The following is a 20,681-nucleotide window of genomic DNA, read 5'->3' on the forward strand; positions in this document are numbered from 1 at the left end:
TGTGCCTGTAAAGTTATCTGTGAGTGAATAGTTCTGTTTTTGTTTTTCGTGTTAGTAACTTAGGGTTACTGTTAGGGTGCTGCAAACGTACTTTTGGATCAGGCAGAAACGGGGTAAATGAAGTTAACATTGTAAAATACTAACTTTTCAATTGCAGAGGTTAATTTACAAGTTGATGTTCAATTTTGTTTTATTTAGTTTTGGTTGTTTTCCTCAACCGTTCATGTATGGAAACATTCTGGCTCTGTCCACCCAGGAACCCAGAATTCTTCACCCTCTGAACCCCTGGATTTGTTTTTAAAATAATCTGTGCATACCTGCTGTTTGTTTTGTTCTTAACTTCATTGTATTATGGGGCTTTATAAACAGAAAGATGAGTTAAAAATATAACAAAACAAATTGTTCACCAAGGCTGCTTTTGCCCTTTGTCTGTGTGGGAATTCACCATGATCCTCAGCTGAGCAGCTTTTAAAATCCAGTGAGCACCCTCTTTTCTTTTCTTTTTTCTCTTTTCCTTTCCTTTCCTTTCTTTTCTTTCTTTTCTCTTTCCTTTCCTTTCTTTTCTTCCTTTTCTCTTTCCTTTTCTTCCTTTCCTTTCTCTTCTTCCTTTTCTCTTTCCTTTTCTTCCTTTCCTTTCTCTTTCACAGGGTCTCACTTTGTCACCCACGCTGGAGCGTAGTCACCCAGGTTGGAGACACAAACATGGCTCACTGCAGCTTCGACCTCCTAGGCTCAAGCAATTCTCCCACCTTAGCCTCCTAAGTAGTTGGGACTACAGGCACACACCACCACACCCAGCTAATTGTTTTATTTTTTTGTAGAGTAGGGTCTCCTTTGTGGCCCAAGCTGGTCTCAAACTCCTGGGCTCAAGCGATCCTCCTGCCTTGGTCTCCCAAAGTGCTGGGATTATAGGTGTGAGCTACCGAACCCTGCCCCAGTGAGCTCACTTTATTAAAACTTGTACTGCTGCCCTCTCCTGTTTTACAGCTGATTAGATTAATTGAATGTGGCTAATAAATTATGATATGGCAAACTCAGAATTATCTGTGTTAATTAGGGACAGGGATAGCCTGGAAAAATGAATTCTGCAAATGATGCCTTTCCTCCTGGATTTGTTTCTGCAGATGGTCATAAAACACAGCATGTGAAAGCAAGTTCATGTCTTGATCCCTTTCTTTGTTTCCCACATGCTGTCTTGCAGGTGACAAGAAATAAACTGGAACTGCAGTATTAGAGAAAGAGGAACATATTTGTCTGGGCTCTTTGGTGGATAATGATTGCAGTCCCCAATTCACACTAGCTCTTTCAGATGGAGTGTGTGAATTAGTTGTTTGGTGCCCTTTTTTTGTGCTTTTTTTCCCATAGAAACAAGATTATACTAAATGCTAAGATTTTGCAAGGGCAGCCCCTAAAAGCTTCTTTAATTCAGAATTTGAAGTATACTTACAGTGAGTACTATTTTCGCTATTGTATGTATAATATTTTCTTCAGAATTTATCAATGCAAAAATAATGAGTAAGTGAAAACTTTAGTTTGTAATTTTGAAAATCATCTCACATTAATATACTTAGCCTAACATAGCTATATAATTGTTTTACATGTTGCTTTCCATATGTACATGTATTTTCTACATGGTTGCAGACAGTGCATTTTATATTTTGCCACGTTTATAACATGATAACATAAATATTTTCGAGATCTCTATATAACCTTGGTAACAATCAAGGATCACTTTTAATAGCTTCAAAATATTCCTTCATGGTAAATAAGACACAAAGCCTTCAGTGGCTACCCCAGCATTGGGAAATAAGGGGTGGGGGAGAGGAGGAAAGCTATTTTCCAGGAAGTATTTCTATGCATGCCTAAGAGAAGACATATCTTTTGGTTGCTCACTCCCAGGTATTCTGCTATAGAAATAAAGGTCATTGCCCTTCGGGGCTCAAGTTCAGGCTAGAGATTTCCAAATGAGTCTTCGGTATCTTATGTGTCAGTCATTTGGGGTGACTGCCTGATGATGACCTGTTTAAAAAGCATCTTGTAACTTTGAAAAATATTCCTGAGGAAGATAGGTGCTCACAGACATTCAGTGATCCTTAATGTATTTCTCCAGTATTTGAAAAGAAGGCATGGTGGCTCACGCCTGTAATCCCAGCACTTTGGGAGACCAAGGCGGGCAGATTGCCTGAGGTCAGGAGTTCAAGCCATTCTGGCCAACATGGTGAAACCATGTCTCAACTAAAAATCCAAAAATTAGCCAGGCTTGGTGGCACGTGCCTGTAATTCCAGCTACTCAGGAGGCTGAGGCACAAGAATCTCTTGAACCCTGGGGGCAGAGGTTGCAGTGAGCCGAGATTGCACCACGGCACTCCAGCCTAGGTGACAGAGCAAGACGCTGTTTCAAAAAAAAAAAAAAAAAAAAAAAAAAAAAAGAAGCCAAACCAAGGAAGTAATAGAGGACAGAATCTTTTGGCACCCTATAAAGTTAGTAGAGTGTCTTTATTTTAAGGTGAATGGCTACATATATAGATGAGTGTAATTGGCCATGAAGGTTATAGAGTGTTGTCACCTTCAAACTTTTGTATCATAGAGGATTGTGCTTACAAATCAGGAGGATGTAGTCACTGGTAGTTTTTCATTATTGATTGGGAAAAATATGCCATTTGTGCCAAAATGTTGATTTTTTTTTTACTCATCCTCTTACCTGCATTACTCTGTTGGTTGTAACTTTACTCATCAGCAATAGCTTATTATAATTATCCTTCCATCACACTGGCTACAGTGAGCTGTAAGTGCTGCTTAATTTTCATACACTTTTGTGGCATTGATGTTGGTTTTGATCAAGAAAAGGCTCTTGTTAACTAGATTCAGAACGCTGGAAGTTTGCAGTTATGTTTGTTTATTTTATAATCTCTTACCACTTTTGTTGTTGTTGTTGCTGAGACAGAGTCTTGCTCTTGTCGCCCAGGCTGGAGTGCAGTGGCTTGATCTCGGCTCACTGCAACCTCCGCCTCCCGGGTTCGAGGAATTCTCCTGCCTCAGCCTCCCTGGTAGCTGGGATTACAGGCGCCCACCACCACACCTGGCTAATTTTTGTATTTTTAGTAGAGACACGGTTTCGCCACGTTGGCCAAGCTGTTTTCGAACTCCTGACCTCAGGTGATCCGCCCGCCTGGACTTCCCAAAATGCTGGGATTACAGGCGTGAGCCACCACGCCCGGCCTGTTATCACTTTTTATTTAGAGAAAAGTCAGTGGGATAAGAGGATGAGAGAAGGCAGAGGCAGGCCTGCAGGAGAGAGTATGATTTTACTACTTATTATTATTATTATTTTAGAGACAGGGCCTTGCTCTGTTTCCCAGGTGGGAGTGCAGTGGCACAATCATAGCTCACTGTAGCCTTGAACTCCTAGGCTCAAATGATCCTCCTGCCTCTGTCTCCCGAGTAGCTAGGACTACAGGCATGTGCCACCATGCCCAGCTAATTTTTAATTTAATTTAATTTAATTTGTAGAGATGGGCTCTCACTATGTTGCCCAGGCTGGGAGAGTATGACTTTAGGTTTTTCTCTACTGCCTCTAGTAATTTGGTAAAGACCCTTCCTCCTCCCCTCTCTACTAAAATGTTTATTTGTATTAATTGGGTGGGAAAATTACCAAATTTTACAGTTCATACCAATATAAGCTGAAATATTTCTGAACAAAGTGACTTGGGAATTTTCCTGGAAAGTAAAAATATGTATACAGCTAAAGTTTGTTTTAACCCTGGTTATTATCTGATACATTACATGGATAGCATTCTTTTTAATTTTTTCTTTTTAAGAATTCATTCTAAAAGGGAAAAGAGATATCATTTGTTTTTAGTTAGTTGTACTATGTAGTGTTATTACTTAGTTCTATTAGTTTATTTTTTTAGCTTTCATTTACCTCTAAATGAATGGAAAATACGATACATGGTCAATACTTGGAAAGAGCCAAATAATCAGTTTCACTGCATTTTTGGTGCAACATCATTGGAATGTAGTTGTAATTTTTTCCAGTGATAATTCCAGTGATTTGGCAATATGGTCTTCCCATAGCAATAGCGCCTTAGTACCTAAAATCAGGGATTTGCGTGTTTTTTGTTTTTTTTTTTAACTTCAGTTTTTGAATGTCTTCAGAGTATTCACCTCACCCTTAAATGAAACAGATCTGACTCAGTTGTCAGAATTCAAACAAGGAAATTCTAGGTTTAGGAAATAATAGAGGTTCATACTCGAGGGGTTTTCCTGCTACAAAGGTACACTTTATCAGAAACAATGGATGCAGCAAGAGAGACGCAACTGGTTTTGTTTTGGAGCAGTTTGGTTCTTGAGATAATGATGAATTAATAGTGGGGAAAGAAATGGAAGCTCAGAGGCATTCTGAACTTTCATTCTTTAAGAAAGGTTAGTTCACCAGTTAGCCCCTTTATGAAAAGAGACTTTATTGAAGGTACAACATCTGTTCACTGAGAATCTCTAAAATCCACATTTTGACATCTTCGAGCTTATTGCTACTTCTAGATTGAGTAACACTTGAAACACATTTCCTTTTCAAAGTGCAAGATTTGCAAAAGAGACTTGTCATGAAGTCTTTTGGCCTGGCTTAAATGGTGAGCTGAATGCTGGATAATCTCTGCTGGCTCCTTAATCAGATTTAAAATTCTCAGTGTTTCCTAATTGTTTCTGCATACTTTACCTGAGTTGTAGCTGTATTATTACACTTTATTTGCTATTTTTGTCTTTCTTGACTTTTGGTAGTTCTAGCATTTAGAAACCTTTTATTTATGATTCAACACATAGTTATATTTTAGTAGTTATCATTTGATATATAGTTATTTATTTTGCTCATTTATTTCCCAGAGATATATTAAGGGTTAATTAGATCATTATATTTTAACCTTACAAATTAAAGCCCTTCGAGACTCAAATAGAGACATTGTTTAAAACTATTCTTAATTGTACTATTTGTATATCTATAATGCATGTTTATGGCTCAAAGAGAAATTAGTAAATTCTTCCTAATTTCTGAAATTAGTTTATGAGTTTGTTATATTTTGTTGGTATGATTAGATCTTATGGGTACAGCTGTCATATGAAGAATGCCAAGAATTGAATTTAATTTAGTAACAAATAGAAAATTCTGAAACAGTGTAAAGCCGTTCAGCTTTTTTAGCAGGAAGTGGTAATGTGTGTCACTGTTGACATATATAAATGCCATTTAATTTGCCACTTCCTATTCATAGGATGGAAGAACCAAACACGTCAGAAAATTCTAGTCCATCTTCTTAGTTTATCAGGTTTTTTTTTAAGGGCAAGTTATATTTGCTGACCATTTGTCCCCCTTAAAAAATGCCCCGTTTTCCTCTGTTGGGTTGAACAAAGCTAAAATAAACGTATTTGGCTGCCAGTGATCATTTCACACTGTTGTTAAATGTTTTCTAAACTTACTTTTATTGTGTTTTTCCTCCTAAACTTTAGACTTCCTAATTTTCAAACAAGAAAACAATTTTAATATAAATAAACAAAAATTTAAATAGTTATAAATATATCCAGCAAAATAACTTATACTTGGTGAAAATAGCTTTATAACTTATGCGACGTATATTTATGAAAGAACAATGCCTTGACCTCTTTTTTTTCAATCTAAGTAGCATTCTTTTTTTTTTTCTTTTTTGTTGAGAATAGTCTCATGGCATGCCAGGGCTGGGGAGTGGTGGCGCAATGATCATAGCTCACTGCAGCCTTTAACTCCTGGCCTCAAGCTATCCGCTCACTTCAGCCTCCCAGGTAGCTAGGACCACAGGCACGTGCCACCACATCCAGCTAATTTTTAATTTTTTTTTTTTTAGAGGTGGGGTCTCATCATGTTGCCCAGGCTGGTCTCCAACTCCTGGCCTCAAGTGATCCTCCCACCTCAGCCTCCCTAAATGCTGGGATTACAGGCATTAGCCACTGTTCCCAGTCTCAATCTAAGTAACATTCTTGATTTATTTCTACCTTTACATTTTCTCCAAGTCCTTTATTTTGAGAAAAAAATATTTTAAAGCTTCAGTTTATGACTCATTTTTTATTTCAGTAGTCCATTTTTCTAATTAGAGATTTCAACTAATTATCCTAAAATCAGCTACTCTAAAATTTCATTAATCTAAATTCAAACCAAAAAAAGCATAAGCAAAATTTGATTGTCAAAGAAAGTTTCAAAACTGGCAAGAACTGTATCTTTATTGTTAATCAAAATCTTAAGGAGGTGAATGTAGCATTTCTTTAAAGTAGACTTCAATATTTGGGAAACTATTTTTCTATTTCTGGAAGATCTCTGAAATGTAAATATACAAACCACATAACCCATATTCAGATAGCCTGGGATCACGTGTTTCCAAATGTACTTTTGAAACAAAGTCCTGTTTTTTTTTCCTTTTTAACTGTAAAAGCACAGTATTTAACTTCTGCTTCTTAAAGTGGGTCAAAGGGGATAGATAACCTTTGTAGAAAAATGTGCAGTGCTGTGAGTAAACCCAGCATTGAAATCTTGCATTGTTATGATTCATTGAAAGGCTGAATGACCCAGAAGTCTGAATTTTTTTTCAAGGTTCTCATGACTGCAGCCAAATTAGTCTTTTAAAAGAAATTCAGTGGGAACGAGGTATAGAAAACCTTAGTTGAAGGTCCCTGATGTTTTTCTACCCCTGATTTTTCTGGACCAGGCAGCAGACTTCCCCAGGAGACCCAAGATAGTACTCAAAGCAGGAGAGCTGTGTGTGTTCTAAGCTGCAGCACCCACCGGCCAAAATGCATCAAGTCACAGCTTATGCTGAAGGTCAGGAGAACTAGTTGGCCCTAGAGAGAGAGTTCCGAAGGCCAAGAAAACTACTCTTTCCCACACTCCAGCAATGGTATCCTTTCACCCATTCACAAACGCAGGGGCAACCTCCCTATTCTCTTGAAACAGAAAAGATTATGTTATTAATATCTGTTGACTGACTAATTTAACTTTAGTGTAAAAGAGTCTTGTCAATCTGTCCCTTTACCATGTTCAATTATATCTAATTTGTGGAATGAAAAGTGGCCCAGTACTGCTCATTCCAAGTTCCTTTTCCCTGTTAGATCTGTTAACTATGGACTTGGGCCAGGTTGAAAGTTTCCTTCTTTCTGTTTTGCTGGCCAAGCCCTTCCCCTCAGCTGCCTCCAGCGACATCACTGGTTGCTGAGAAATATCTGGTAAGCAGTACTCTGGGTAAGAGCTTGCTCCTTACCCCTCACTGGTGCCACGTGGTGAGGTATCTGCGAGCTCTGATGCCCTGTGGGTTGCGCTGGACAATGCAGAAACCTCAAATACCACCCTGCCTTCTCCTCAGAGGTGCAGGAAAGAGCCTCCTGGCCCAAACCTCCCACCCCAAGGGTGGGGCAGTGGCTGTCCGCCTTCTCCCATTGAATGGAAAATCAGAACTCCTTTGTTCTTCCTGCCAGAGTGCCACTCCCAACAGTGACCCAAATGTGTATTCTTCACTTGTCCTTGGTCCAAGTCAAAACTCCTTTTCCTCGAGGTGGAGAAGAAAAGTCCCCAAACCCCCTGCTTGAAATCAGAGTAGCTAGCATTCCTTGCCACCCCACTTCCCTGCTCTGCCCCTCACTTTCTGAACTTGATCCAATCTGAACTTGATCCAGTATTAGTTACCTGGAAATCTGACATGTGAAGGCATGCATTCATTAATGGTAGTGGAAAAATCAACCAAAATTTCAGAGATAAAATGTACCCCTAGAAGATTTAGTCAGGGAAAAAGCAGGCACTACCATACCATCCTTGTTCGATATAAAGAAGGACTGTAAGCCATTGGTGACCAGGCATGGATGGGGTGGGCTACCAAGGGCTCACAGGACCTCTTTATACTGTATTGAATAAGAGCGATAGAGCCTGCTTTTCCCCTGACTAAATCTTCTAAGGTACCGCTCATCTCTAAAATTTGGTTTGGTTTTTTACTGCCGTTAATGAACATACCTCCATGTATGTTTTCCAGGTTACTAATATTTGCTTTTTAAAAGAATTTCAAAAACTTTTAGACCTATTAAAGTATAGCTAATATAAGACATTCTCATGTCCATGTACCCACCACTCAATTTTAGAAATAATAAATTATAGAGTCAAAGTCCCCTATGAATCCCTCCTCTTCCATTTCTCTCTAGAGGTAACATTGAGTATTATCCTTAATTTGTTAATAATCATTCCTATCCATGTTTTATACTGTAATTATACATGGATATATATATAAAAATATACTATATATATTTTATATATATGAATGATAATACTGTTGTTTTGGCATTTTAAATATTTTTTTCAGAAATATACAAATTGGTTTGACTGTATATTTCTGCAACTTGTTCTTTTCACTTACCATCATCTTTTTTAGATTCATCTATGTTGATAAATATGGCTTTTGTTCACTGCTCGAGTATTCCTACTCTACTTGTATACCAAGGCATTCTCCAGTTGGTGGACGTTTAAGTTGTTGCCTGTGTTCTATACTATGACCCTTAAAGAGGAAGTTTCCCCACCAAGATGTGGATGTTCTTGTACGTCTCCCTTTGGGAAGGTCTGATCTTTAAAAGCCAAAACTTGATTTTAACCTAACCTTTTTTTATTGGTCTTCGTGAATCTGCGTAAATTGCTGCATCTCTCTTGGCCTCAGTTTTCTTAGCCACACAGACAGGACTGAACTAAATGATCTCTAAAGTACTTCTCAAGTCTATAATTCTATGATTCTCTTTCATACTTATTTCCCTGCCTCCTTATGTTATAAGCAACCATTTAGCATAAGAGTCAATTCAGGAAAGCAAAATCTGTTAGAGAGAGTTTCTAAATTCAAAATGAAAATGCCTTTGAGTCATTCCCTTGGGAATGTTTTCTTACAGTTTATATTTCCTACTGTATTGACTAGATAAATATTAATAAGGAAAGTGGGACTACTTTAAAACCATCAAAAAATGAGTGTTGAGGTATATTTGAGCAACATGGAAATACCTTTGGAATCTTGCCTTCTAAACTCAGATGTTGGATTGTGTTTCCAGCTGGGTGGGCTGCATGCCTCCTGGTGGGTCATGGACTGCTCATGAGTCAGGATGACTCAGGGTCATCATTTTGAACATGAATTATTATATTATGTGCTGCCAAAAAATGATGTTCTCAAAAAGACTTTTGAAATACAAAAAGTCTTTTAAAAAAAAATTGTGGGTACATAGTAGATGTATATATTTATGGGTTACATGAGATATTTTGATACAGGCATGCAATGAGTAATAATAATCACATCAGGGTAAATGGAGTATCCATCACCTCAAGCATTTTTATCCTTTGTGTTACAAACAGTCCAATTATACTTGTAGTTATTTTAAAATGTATAATTAAATTATTTTTGATTATAGTCACCTATTGTCCTAGCAAATACTAGGTCTTATTCTAACTATTTTTTGTACCCATTAACCATTACCACTTTCCCCTACCCCCCACTACCCTTCCCAGCCTAACCATTCTTCTACTCTCTATCTCCATGAATTCAATCATTTTAATTTTTAGCTCCCACAAATAAATTAGAACATGCGAAGTTTGTCTTTCTGTACCTGGCTTATTTCACTTAATATAATGACCTCCAGTTCCATCCATGTTGATGCAAATGACAGGATCTCATTCTTTTTATGGCTGAATAGTACTCCATTGTGTATATGTACCACATTTTCTTTGTCCATTCATCTGTTGATGGATGCTTAGATTGCTTCCAAATCTTGGCTATTGTGAATAGTGCTGCAATAAACATGGGAGTGCAGTTATTTCTTTGACATACTCATTTCCTTCCTTTTGGAGCAGGATTGCTGGGTCATATGATAGCTCTATATTTGATTTTGTGAGGAGACTTCAAACTGTTCTCCATAGTGGCTGTACTAATTTGCATTCCCACCCACAGTGTGCAAGGGTTCCCTTTTCTCCACATCCCTGCCAGTGTTTGTTATTGCCTATCTTTTGGATAAAAGCCGTTTTAAATGGGGTGAGATGATATCTCATTGTAGTTTTCATTTGCATTTCTCTGATGATCACTGATGTTGAACACCTTTTCATGTATCTGTTTGCCATTTGTATGTCTTTTGAAAAATGTCTGCTTAGGTCTTCTGCTCATTTTAAAATCAGATTATAAGATTTTTTCCTGTAGAGCTGTTTGAGCTCCTTATATATTCTGATTATTAATAGCTTGTCAGATGGGTAGTTTGCAAATATTTTTTCCCATTCTGTGTGTTGTCTCTTCACTTTGCTCATTGTTTCCTTTGCTGTACAGAAGCTTTTTAACTTGATGTGATCCTGTTTGTTCATTTTTGCATTGGTTGACTGTGCTTGCAGGGTATTACTGTAGAAATATTTGCCCAATCCAATGTCCTGGAGAGTTTCCCCAATGTTTTCTTTTAGTAGTTTCATAGTTTGAAGTCTTAGGTTTAAGTCTTTAATCCATTTTGATTTGATTTTTGTATATGGCAAGAGGTGGGGGTCTAGTTTCATTCTTCGGCATACAGATACCCAGTTTTCCCAGCACCATTTATTGAAGAGACTGTCCTTTCCCCCAATGTATGTACTTGGCACCTTTGTCAAAATGAGTTCACTGTAGATATATAGATTTATCTCTGGGTTCTCTGTTCTGTTCCACTGGTATATGTGTCTATTTTTATGCTAGTACCATGCCATTTTGGTTACCATAGCTCTGTAGTATAATTTAAACAAAGGGCTTTTTGACCTGAAGGATAATGTCCTTCAAAAACTATGTTTTTTGAGATTGTATAGTCCTTTTAAATTAAAAAAAAAAAAAAGTTGCTCCCTTACTGCCAGGATGACCTCTGGTTCTTGCTGCTGTTGGTGTGATAGCCCCCTCCTTCTTTCTAGTCTCCAGTCATCTGGGGCTAGGGGATAAGCCAAGTCTTTGGAGTTGTGGGCTGGAGGACTCTCCTAGCAGCTGTGGTCACAGTTCAGCACAGAGATGTTGTGGCAGCTACTTGGGCTGCTCATTGTCCCCTTTTTCTTTCTTATTTTCTAGTTCTTAGCTGAACACTACATGAAATTGCCTTCAGAGAAGTACTACAGTTTCTCATTAAATGTAATAACATTCATGACAGGATAGTAGTGCAGCTCTTTCATATAGATATGAGTATACAGTTTGTCCTTTCATATAGCTATGAATATAAAATTTTATTAATGAGATAGGTTTGAGTATTATATAGAGGATATATAATAGGTATATAATATAGAGGATATTATGATTTTTCTCAATAGCCTTTCTATTCTATTTTTAGCAGCCTATGGATTCTAGGAGTGACCCAGCTCCAGGGATAGGACTTGATTAATCTAAATTTAGAGAATGGATTTAGATTAATCCAATCTTGGTAATTCCCCGTGGCAGTGATTAGTTCAGGAATTCAGCCTTAGCCTGCCAGAACATGACATTCCCATGGTTATAAGTCCAGAAATGAGACATGAAGGAAAACTTGTTGGAGGCTTTGGGGAAATGCTTTCTCACTTTTGAGAGGAAGAGGAAAATAATCTCTTTTCTTCTGGTATTGCTGTTGTGGTCAGGAACTGCTATCAGTCAAGAGTGTGAAATTGATACTCCCTGGAGGGCAGAACCCAGGGAGGTGCAGAGAAATGAGCTGGAGCCCTAGATTGAGCCATCTCTGAACCCCATTCACCACTGGACTTGTTGTAGATGAGTCAACAAATTGCCTTAAGCTAGTTTGATTTGGGGTTTCTGCTATTTGCAGCTGAAAGCATCCTGATTATATTATCATTTTACAGCTAATTATTCTTTTAATCCCTGGAGTAGCATCAGGAAATTATCTTTGCTTTAAATTTTAACATGAATGTTAATCCACTACTGATATTATTGTCAAGCTAATTGTAATGTGTCTTCATTTTCTTATTGGAATAAGATTTCTCAGCATCCTGACTATTGTAACTATAATATATTAAGAAATTTCCGAAGTTTTTTTTTTTTTTTTTTTTGAGACAGAGTCTCACTCTGTTGCCCAGGCTGGAATGCAGTGGTGCAATCTCGGCTCACTGCAACCTCTACCTCCTGGGTTCAAGTGATTCATTTTCCTGCCTTAGCCTCCCCGCTAGCTGGGATTACAGGCACCCACCACCACACCCAGCTAATTTTTTTAGTAGAGTAGGGGTTTTGCCATGTTGGCCAGGCTGGCCAACTCCTGACCTCAGGTGATCTGCCTGCCTTGGCCTCCCAAAGTGCTGGGATTACAGGCGTGAGCCACCGCACCTGGCCAAATTTCCAAAGTTTTTAAAGCCATCTTTACCCTTAGTAGTATATAATATTTACTTAAATATGTAAGAGTACCTACCCTTTAATTTAGTTACTGTACACATGTTTCTGTGCACAACTTAACTGGCAAAGAGAGGATGGAGTCTTCGCATGATCTGAGAGCAATTGCAGGGCACTATGTTAATAAAACCCAATAACACAGGATTAAATCACTGTGCAAAAACCAGGCTTTGAGGCAGAGCTGAGGAGAGAAGAGAGGGAACTACATGGGTGGAATGGCATCCTCAGAGAAGGCTGCAAAGTGAGGTGGTCATGCAGGAGTGCAGGAAAGGAGGTATGGGGCCCACTGAGAGAAGCAAAAGGCCTCATTTGGAGAAACTCTGAGGTTTGCAGTGTCAGGAGAATGGTGCATCTGGTGGGAAAGGCTGTATCACCAGGCTGAAGAAGTTGGCTCCACGGCTTCTTAAATAGTGCAGTGACATTACCACAGGGATTGTTGCAAGTTAGTCTAGAAGTGACATGTAGGGGAATTAGACCAGGGAGAGATGTTGGCACAGTATCCTGGAAAGCTATTACAAATAATCCATGCATGAAGTGACAAGAGCTGTAGGGTTATAGACTGAATGTGTAATCTCTTAGGTTTATATGGAATTTCAGAGTTCCCAGAGCACGTTCACACACATCGTCTAATTTATCTAATTAGATCCTGTCAACCTTTTTTTATGGATGAGGATATATAGGTTCAGAGCAGTCAAGCAGCCTGTTCACAAGTTTTTAGTGACAGTTCAGTCATTAAACTGAACTAACCTACAGTTCAGTGCTTTTCAATGAATTTTTACCTCTTGTAGTGAAATTCTTACTTACTAAAACTGTTGCCTATTTTCTAGGTCCCCACTTGCTTTTTTTTTTCCATATGGTGCTAATTTGACTTTGTTCTGCAGCCGTTGTCTGTCAGTTGGCCCTTGACAACAGCATAAGCAAAAGCTAAATGCCATAGTTCACAGCTCTTAGAAACTTTGAAAACCTTTGAGTAGTGAAAAGATGGCTAAGTGTCACCATCTTGTAGAACTTCCTCACATAACTGAAAGGTAATGTTCCTAACAAAAAAAAAAAAAAAAAAGCCTCTGTCAGTAGAAGGTTTTTGAAGTGTTTTAAATGAATGGAGAGTGAGGCTTTAAGGAGCCTCAAATTGGCATTATTGAGTGAAGGTGGTAAAGTTGCCCATGACTTCTAATTACAGGCAAAATCAACCTTAATAAGAACAGGCGTTACTACTTTAATAAGCCAGAATAAGGAAAATATTAATCTGAACAAATATTCTGGTATACATCGTCGTTTATTTAAAACGTGAATGAAGGTTGGGCAGGCTAGCTCACACCTGTAATCCCAGCACTTTGAGAGGCTAAGGCAGGTGGATCACATGAGGCCAGGAATTTGAGACCAGCCTGGTCAACATGGTGAAACCCCATCTCTACTGAAAATACCAAAGTTAACTGGGTGTAGTGGAGCACACTGTAATCCCAGCTAGTCGCGAGGCTGAGGCAGGAGGCAGGAGAATCGCTTGAACCCAAGAGGCGAAGGTTGCGGTGAGCCAAGATCGCGCCACTGCACTCCAGCCTGCACAACAGAAGGAGACCCATCTCAAAAAAAATAAGTGAATGAATTATTAAGTGGTAAAATGTTGGACATTGGCCTTTTAATTAATTTATTCAGGTATACAGTAGGCATTTTGAAAGTCATTGTTTTTTTTATTTTGGTAAAAACATAATATGTAAGTTACAGTCTTAACCATTTTTCAGTGTACAGTTCAGTAGTTTTACAAGCCTGTTCACACTGTGGTGCAACTGATCCGTAGAACTATTTCATCTTGCAAATCTGACACTCCATACCTATTAAACAACTATTCCTTTCCCCCTCCTTCCAGATCCTGGTAACTACCATTGTACTACTTTCTGTTTCTATGGATTTGGAAAGTCATGAATTTTTTTAAAATGTTAATCTGAAGAAACATGTATTGAGTACATACCAGGTTTTGGGCATTGTTCTTGATGCCAGGCCCAAAGAGAGGTAAAGGATAGAGGAGGATTCCTAGAGGGTCTTTGTTACACTGGATTTGGTGGCATATAAAACGTAAATCACAATAAAAATCAATGTCTATTAAGTCTTAAATGAGTGATGGAAACAGTATATTTTGTCAGATGCTAGCAGTAATATTTATGCTGAGTTGCTGAGTTTTGTGTCACCTTTACAGACCCTGAAATGCTGAGGGAGGTGCCTTAGAGGAGAAAATATGAGCCAGATAACTTGGGAATAGTGGTTATCAGATTGCATTAGGTTGCTGCAAAAGTAATTGCGGTTTTTGCCATTCTTAATGGCAATTACTTTTGCAGCAACCTAATATTTATTAATAATTTATGGTTGTTAGTGAGGGGAAATAATGGTTGAGAAGGTGTTCTGCTAAATTAGCTTGGGTGTGATTGTTGCCTATTTCAAGACACAAGAGTATCTAAAAAGGCTCCGTGGGGGAAAAGTACCACACAGAGAAAAAAGGAGGAAATTCGGTTGGTTTATGTCTATGCATTGTATAAAGCTGGAGCTAGGAAGCAGCCTTTTGGGTGCTTTCAATGTTTATATGAAAAAATACTGTAGTAACATAGCAGTTGAATGCTCCCCACCTAAATAAAACTGGAGTTGGCTGGGTGGCTCACGCCTATAATCCTAACACTTTGGGAGGCCGAGGCGGGTGGATCACGAGGTCGGTCAGGAGATTGAGACCACCCTGGCCAACATGGTGAAACCCCGTCTCCACTAAAAATACAAAAAATTATCTGGGCGTGATGGTGCATACCTGTAGTCCCAGCTACTCGGGAGGCTGAGGCGGGAGAATCACTTGAACCTGGGAGGTGGAGGTTGCAGTGAGCTGAGATTGCTCCACTGCACTCCAGCCTGGTGACAGAGTGAGACTCTGTCTCAAAAAACAAAACAAAACAAAACTGGAGTTAATGTTTAAGTCAATTTAGAGGATATGTAATTTACGTGTTTTCCTGAAATTTCTTGGAAACCACTTTAAGGGGTTCTATATAGCAGTGGTCCCCAACCTTTTTGTCACCAGGGACTGGTTTCATGGAAGACAGTTTTTCCTCCAGGGACTGGAGGTGGTGGTGGTGTGGGGGTGGGGGTGGTTTAGGAATGATTCAAGCACATTACATTTATTATGCACTTATATTCTATTTTTATTACATTGTAATATATAATGAAATTATTATACAACTCACCAATGTAGAATCAGCGGGAGCTGTGAGCATGTTTTCCTGCAACAAGATGGTCCTATCTGGGGATGATAGAAGACAGTGACAGATCATCAGGCATTAGATTCTCATAGGAGTGCACAACCTAGATCCCCCACATGGGCAGTTCACAATAGGGTTTGAGCACCTATGAGAATCTAATGCCACTGCTGATCTGACAGGAGGCTGAACTTAGGCAGCAATGCAAGTAATGGGGAGCAGCTGTAAATATAGATGAAGCTTCTCTCACTTGCCTGCCACTGAATTCCTGCTGTGCAGCCCAGTACTGGTCTGTGGCCCAGGGATTGAGAAACCCTGCTGGACAGAATGCAAAAGAATAGAAAAATCTAAACAAAGCTGAGTAGCCAGATGATGACGATTTAGCAAATTGCAACTAAGTTGTATTCACTAACTGGTCTCCTCAGAAAGCTTATTCCTGATATATGATAGAGCTTGCTGATATTTGTCAAGGGCTTTGTGGTTCTTTGTCTTTGAAATTGATAAATAAGTTTTGAGCTACCATAGTGGGGGGAAATACGTGAGGGAAGGGTTGAACTTTTGAAGTGCCCGAGGCCTTCAAAAGGCATAGCCCTTTGAAAGCCAAAACTTTTGGCTTCAGGTTAGAATCATCTGGGAAACTTTAAAAATTACCAGTGCCCAGGTCCCATCCTTGACTAATTAAGTCACAATCTCAGAATTTGGGGAAGGGGGCAGGCCTAATCATGAGGATTTTTTTTTTCAACATTTCTCAGTCATCTTAGTCCATTTTCTGCTGCTATGACAGAATACCTGAAACTGCATAGTTTATAATGAACAGAAATTTATTTAGCTCATGGTTCTGGAGGCTGGGAACTCCAAGGGTATGGCATCAGCATCTGGTGAGGACCTTCATGCTTCATTATCTCATGCTGGAAGACTGGAAGGGGAAGTGCACTCATGCAGAAGAAAATGTAGGAGGAGCAGGACTAACTTTTATAAAAACCCACTCTCAAGATAACTAACTCACTCCTGTGATAAGGACAATCCGTTCATACAGGCTCCACATGAATCAGCTGTGAAAGGTCCCACCTCTTAGTACTTAGTATCTCTAAGGTCCCACAATGGCAATCTAATTTCAACCTGAGTTTTGGAGGGGACTTTCAGATCATAGTACCAGGCAATTCTAGAGTACAGTCAGGCCTGAAATCCATTCTTCCTGTTTCAGCTCTAGCAAGTAATCTGTGGGGAACATTTATTAAAATGTGTATAAAATACTTGCTAACTGTTTAAAATAGATATGCAGGCTTTCCCTCCCTTACTGTCAAATAGGCAAATTTTTTTTCCTTAGTCAGTTGCAGAATCTGAAGAAAAAAGTGGAAGGAGATGGAGGAATATTCTTTAAAGAGGTCCCATAGCCTTCTTTTGGGAAGGATTGGGGTTGAGGAGTAGATAGGAAGCATTGTTTATATGTACTTCAGGAAGTAGGAAATATGGCATGTTCTCAATCTATCTAAATTATATAACTTTGCAGGATGTGATCCATTTGTGTCAGAATAATGAGGCATATAATACGTTGCATTTAACACGTGTGGGAATTCTTTGCTGAGTAATTAGCATTCCTTTCTCCAGCCTGTATTCAGAGGAAACATACCATTCACACCCTCTCTGTGTTCACATTTTCCAGTGCGTTGGAGAGCTTTTTTTCAATAGAAATCTTTGTCCTCCTAATGAGACTTGGATTATATCTGAAGAAACTTAACATATCTTTCTTTGTTTTTCTGGCAGGAATTGATTTTAAAATTAGAACGATAGAACTAGATGGAAAGAAAATTAAGCTTCAGATATGGTAAGTAAACACACACACAGAGTTTCTGCTTTAATTGGGAATTGAAAGTAGGAATTAAATGTGAATTGTAATAAGTTAGAGGCATCTTGTGATAGCTAAAACATCTTTTCTTTATCGGAACCAAGGGGAAATAAGTAAGCACTGGGAATCCTTCAAAGGTATCTTCACCAAGAGTTGGGAAGGTGAGAGAGGGTACTAACTGTTGAAGCCAGAAGAGATCTGATAGCTCATCTTTCCAAAACTATAATTTTTGAGGGGAGGAAACTAAATTCTAAGGAACGCAAATTACTTCTTCATCACAGTTGTTGTAGTTTTGAAATCTGATAAGACAGAGTAGTCACGTCGCAGGAACCCTTGGCAGGAAGTACAGATCTAGGTTCTAGCCAGGATGCCTCCAAATTGAGGGCTTTGGGCCAGTTATTTCCCTTCTCAGGGTCTCACCTTTTCCTCGTTTGTAAATTGGTTGGATTGATGGCATTGGAGTTCCCCTCCAGCTATGATATTTTATGATTTATTTGCATATTTCTTATTAAATAGAAAAATGAAGACTGAGAAAAAAAATCATGTCATAGTTCAGACTGCTCTAAGATATTTTTACCACACTTTTTTTCTCATACATAGCACAGTACTTCTGACACCAGATGTCAGGGGGTTCCCCCCACCACCACCAGGTAATTCTCCAGCAGATGCCAATTGGGTGTCCTATACCTTTTTTTTAATTCTTTTTTTAATTTTCTTTTTCTTTCTGGGTGTCCTATAATTTAAGTCAGTTCTGATACTGTCTACCTGGAGATAGCATCAGATCCCACAGGTTGAGGGCTGGGTCCCGCAGTGTCCCCACTTCAGCTGCCAGTCACAAGTACAGGTTAAATATCCCTTATCCAAAATGCTTGGGAACAGAAGTGTTTCCGATTTTGGATATTCTTGGATTTTGGAATATGTGCATATACATAATGAGATATCTTGGGGATGGGACCCAAGTCTAAACACGAAATTCATTTATGTTTCATATACAGCTGGTACACATGAAGCTGAATATAACTTTATACAATATTTTAATAAATTTTTTTTTTGAGACAGAGTTTCGCTCTTGTTGCCCAAGCTGTGGTGCAATGGTGTGAGCTCGGCTCACTGCAACCTCCACCTCCCGGGTTCAAGCGATTCTCCTGCCTCAGCTTCCTGAGTAGCTGGGATTACAGGCATGCGCTACCACGCCCTGCTATTTTTTTGTATTTTCAGTAGAAACGGGGTTTCTCCATGTTAGCCAGCTGGTCTTGAACTCCTGACCTCAGGTAATCCGCCCGCCTCAGCCTCCCAAAGTGCTGGGATTACAGGCGTGAGCCACTGCACCCGGCCAATAAAATTTTTTAAATAAACTGTGTTGTATGTCTACATTTTGACTGTGACCCGTCACGTGAGCTCAGTTGTGTAATATTCTACTATGGCATCATGTTGGCACTCAAAAAGTTTTGGATTTGGGAGCATTTTAGATTTTGGATTTTCAGATTAGGGATACTCAACTGTAGTAGGTTGTCACCTCTACTTCTGACCAACTGGCTATAAATTGGGGTTCTGATGACCCCCCTCCTCTGATTCCTTTAATTTACTAGAGCAGCTCACAGAACTCAGGGAAACACTTTATTTATGTTTACCCATTTATTATAAAGGATATTGCAAAGAATACAGATGAACAGCCAGATGGAAGAGATACACAGGGCAAGCCATGTGGGAAGGAGTGAGGAACTTCCACACTTCCTTCCTTGTGGGAGGGGTCATCTACTCTCCAAGAACATCCAGCACCTCCACGTGTCTCACTCTCCTGAAGCTCTCCAAACCCAGTCCTTTGAGTTTTTATGGAAGCTTCCTTATATAGCCATGATTGATTGCATCGTGGGCCATTGGTGATTAAGTCAACCTTTAGCCCCTCTCCCTTCTCCAGAGGTCGAATGGTAGGACTGAAAGTTCCAGCCCGCTTATCACTTGGTTGGTTCTCCTGGCAACCAGCCTCCTATCCTGTGGCTGAACAGGAGCCCCAGCCACCAGTTATTTCATTAGCGCACAAAAAGAACTTAAACACTTTGTTGGAGATTCCAAGAATTTTAGTATCTGTGTGCCAAGAATCAGGAGCAGAGACCAAATATGTTTCTTATTATATGTGTTCCTTACTGTATCACACTATCACAGCTACTATAACAAAAATACCATAGACTGGGTGTCTTAAACAATAAACATTTATTTCTCACAGTTCTGGAGGCTGGGAAACCCAAGATCAGGGTGCCAGCAGATACAGTGTCTAGTGAAGGTTTGCTTCCTGGTTTGTAGACAGCTGTCTCACTTGTATCCTCACATGGCCCAGAGAGAGATCATCTCTATGGTGTGAAGAGCACTAATCCCTTTCACAACGGCTCCACCCTCATGACCTAATTACCTCCCAAAGTTCCCCTATCTAAATACCATCACATTGAGGATTAGGCTTCAACATATAAATGTTGGAGGAACACAAACTATTAGTCCTTAGGATGTTTCCCAACTCTGATGTTGCAATATGCAAGGCAAAGATCTTATGATTACCCAACTCTGGTTCATAAACTCCTGAAGAATCTGTCCAACTACAGTGAATAAATATGGTTCCTCCAGATTGCTAGGTTGAATATTTTTGACTTGAACTCAGAAGCTCTTCTTAGATTTTTTTTAACCTCCTAGAAGCTGGTTTAATTTCTTTCAGTTCAGTGCCTTGCATGGAGCCATATAGATTTGGAGCTTTTGGAAGGTTGTTGGTGATGTTTGCTGATCTAATGTGTATTGATGACAGCAGTAGACAAAACGTAGAATTCAGAGCAGCACTGGCTAAGAACGAGGCAGGGCTAAAGAGTAAAGTTATACATATTAGCTGTTGCCTTAGGCTGTATTTCTTTTTTGAACTCAGAACTGGGACAGAAGAAGAATATCCCCCAGCTCTTCTTTTATAGAGAAGGAAACAGGGACTGAGAGTGGTTAGGTCCACTCGAGGGCATATGTGATGAAGCTGGGATAACTACTCAACTGCCCTGGAACATAGTGATTGGCTTCCTAGTGGTTTCCAGTGTACTTCACTGGAAAATGTTATGAAGGTTACTATAGGCTGCCCTTTCCATCCATTGGTATTGAACAAGATGCCAAATATTTTACAGATTTAAAAAATTACATCTTTTCTCATGATCCCCTCCTTGGGTTTCTCAGAGAAATATGGTTAGTCTGCTAAAAAGT

General features: G+C 39.2%; 1 protein-coding gene across 3 annotated transcripts in view; it reads left to right on the forward strand.

Moving 5' to 3' along the window:
* Positions 1-20,681, forward strand: part of RAB8B (RAB8B, member RAS oncogene family) — a 78,171-nt gene that overhangs the window by 37,776 nt on the left and 19,714 nt on the right. For all 3 annotated transcript variants that reach the window (XM_017022312.1, NM_016530.3, XM_011521669.4), the window contains one exon: positions 17,375-17,435. Coding sequence is in view for 2 of the 3 variants with exons in the window: in NM_016530.3 (NP_057614.1) it covers positions 17,375-17,435 (61 nt within the window). In the remaining variant the exon portion in view is untranslated. The remainder of the gene's footprint in view (positions 1-17,374; positions 17,436-20,681) is intronic.

Source organism: Homo sapiens, chromosome 15 (assembly GCF_000001405.40).
Source record: "Homo sapiens chromosome 15, GRCh38.p14 Primary Assembly".
Classification (NCBI taxonomy): Eukaryota; Metazoa; Chordata; class Mammalia; order Primates; family Hominidae; genus Homo; species Homo sapiens.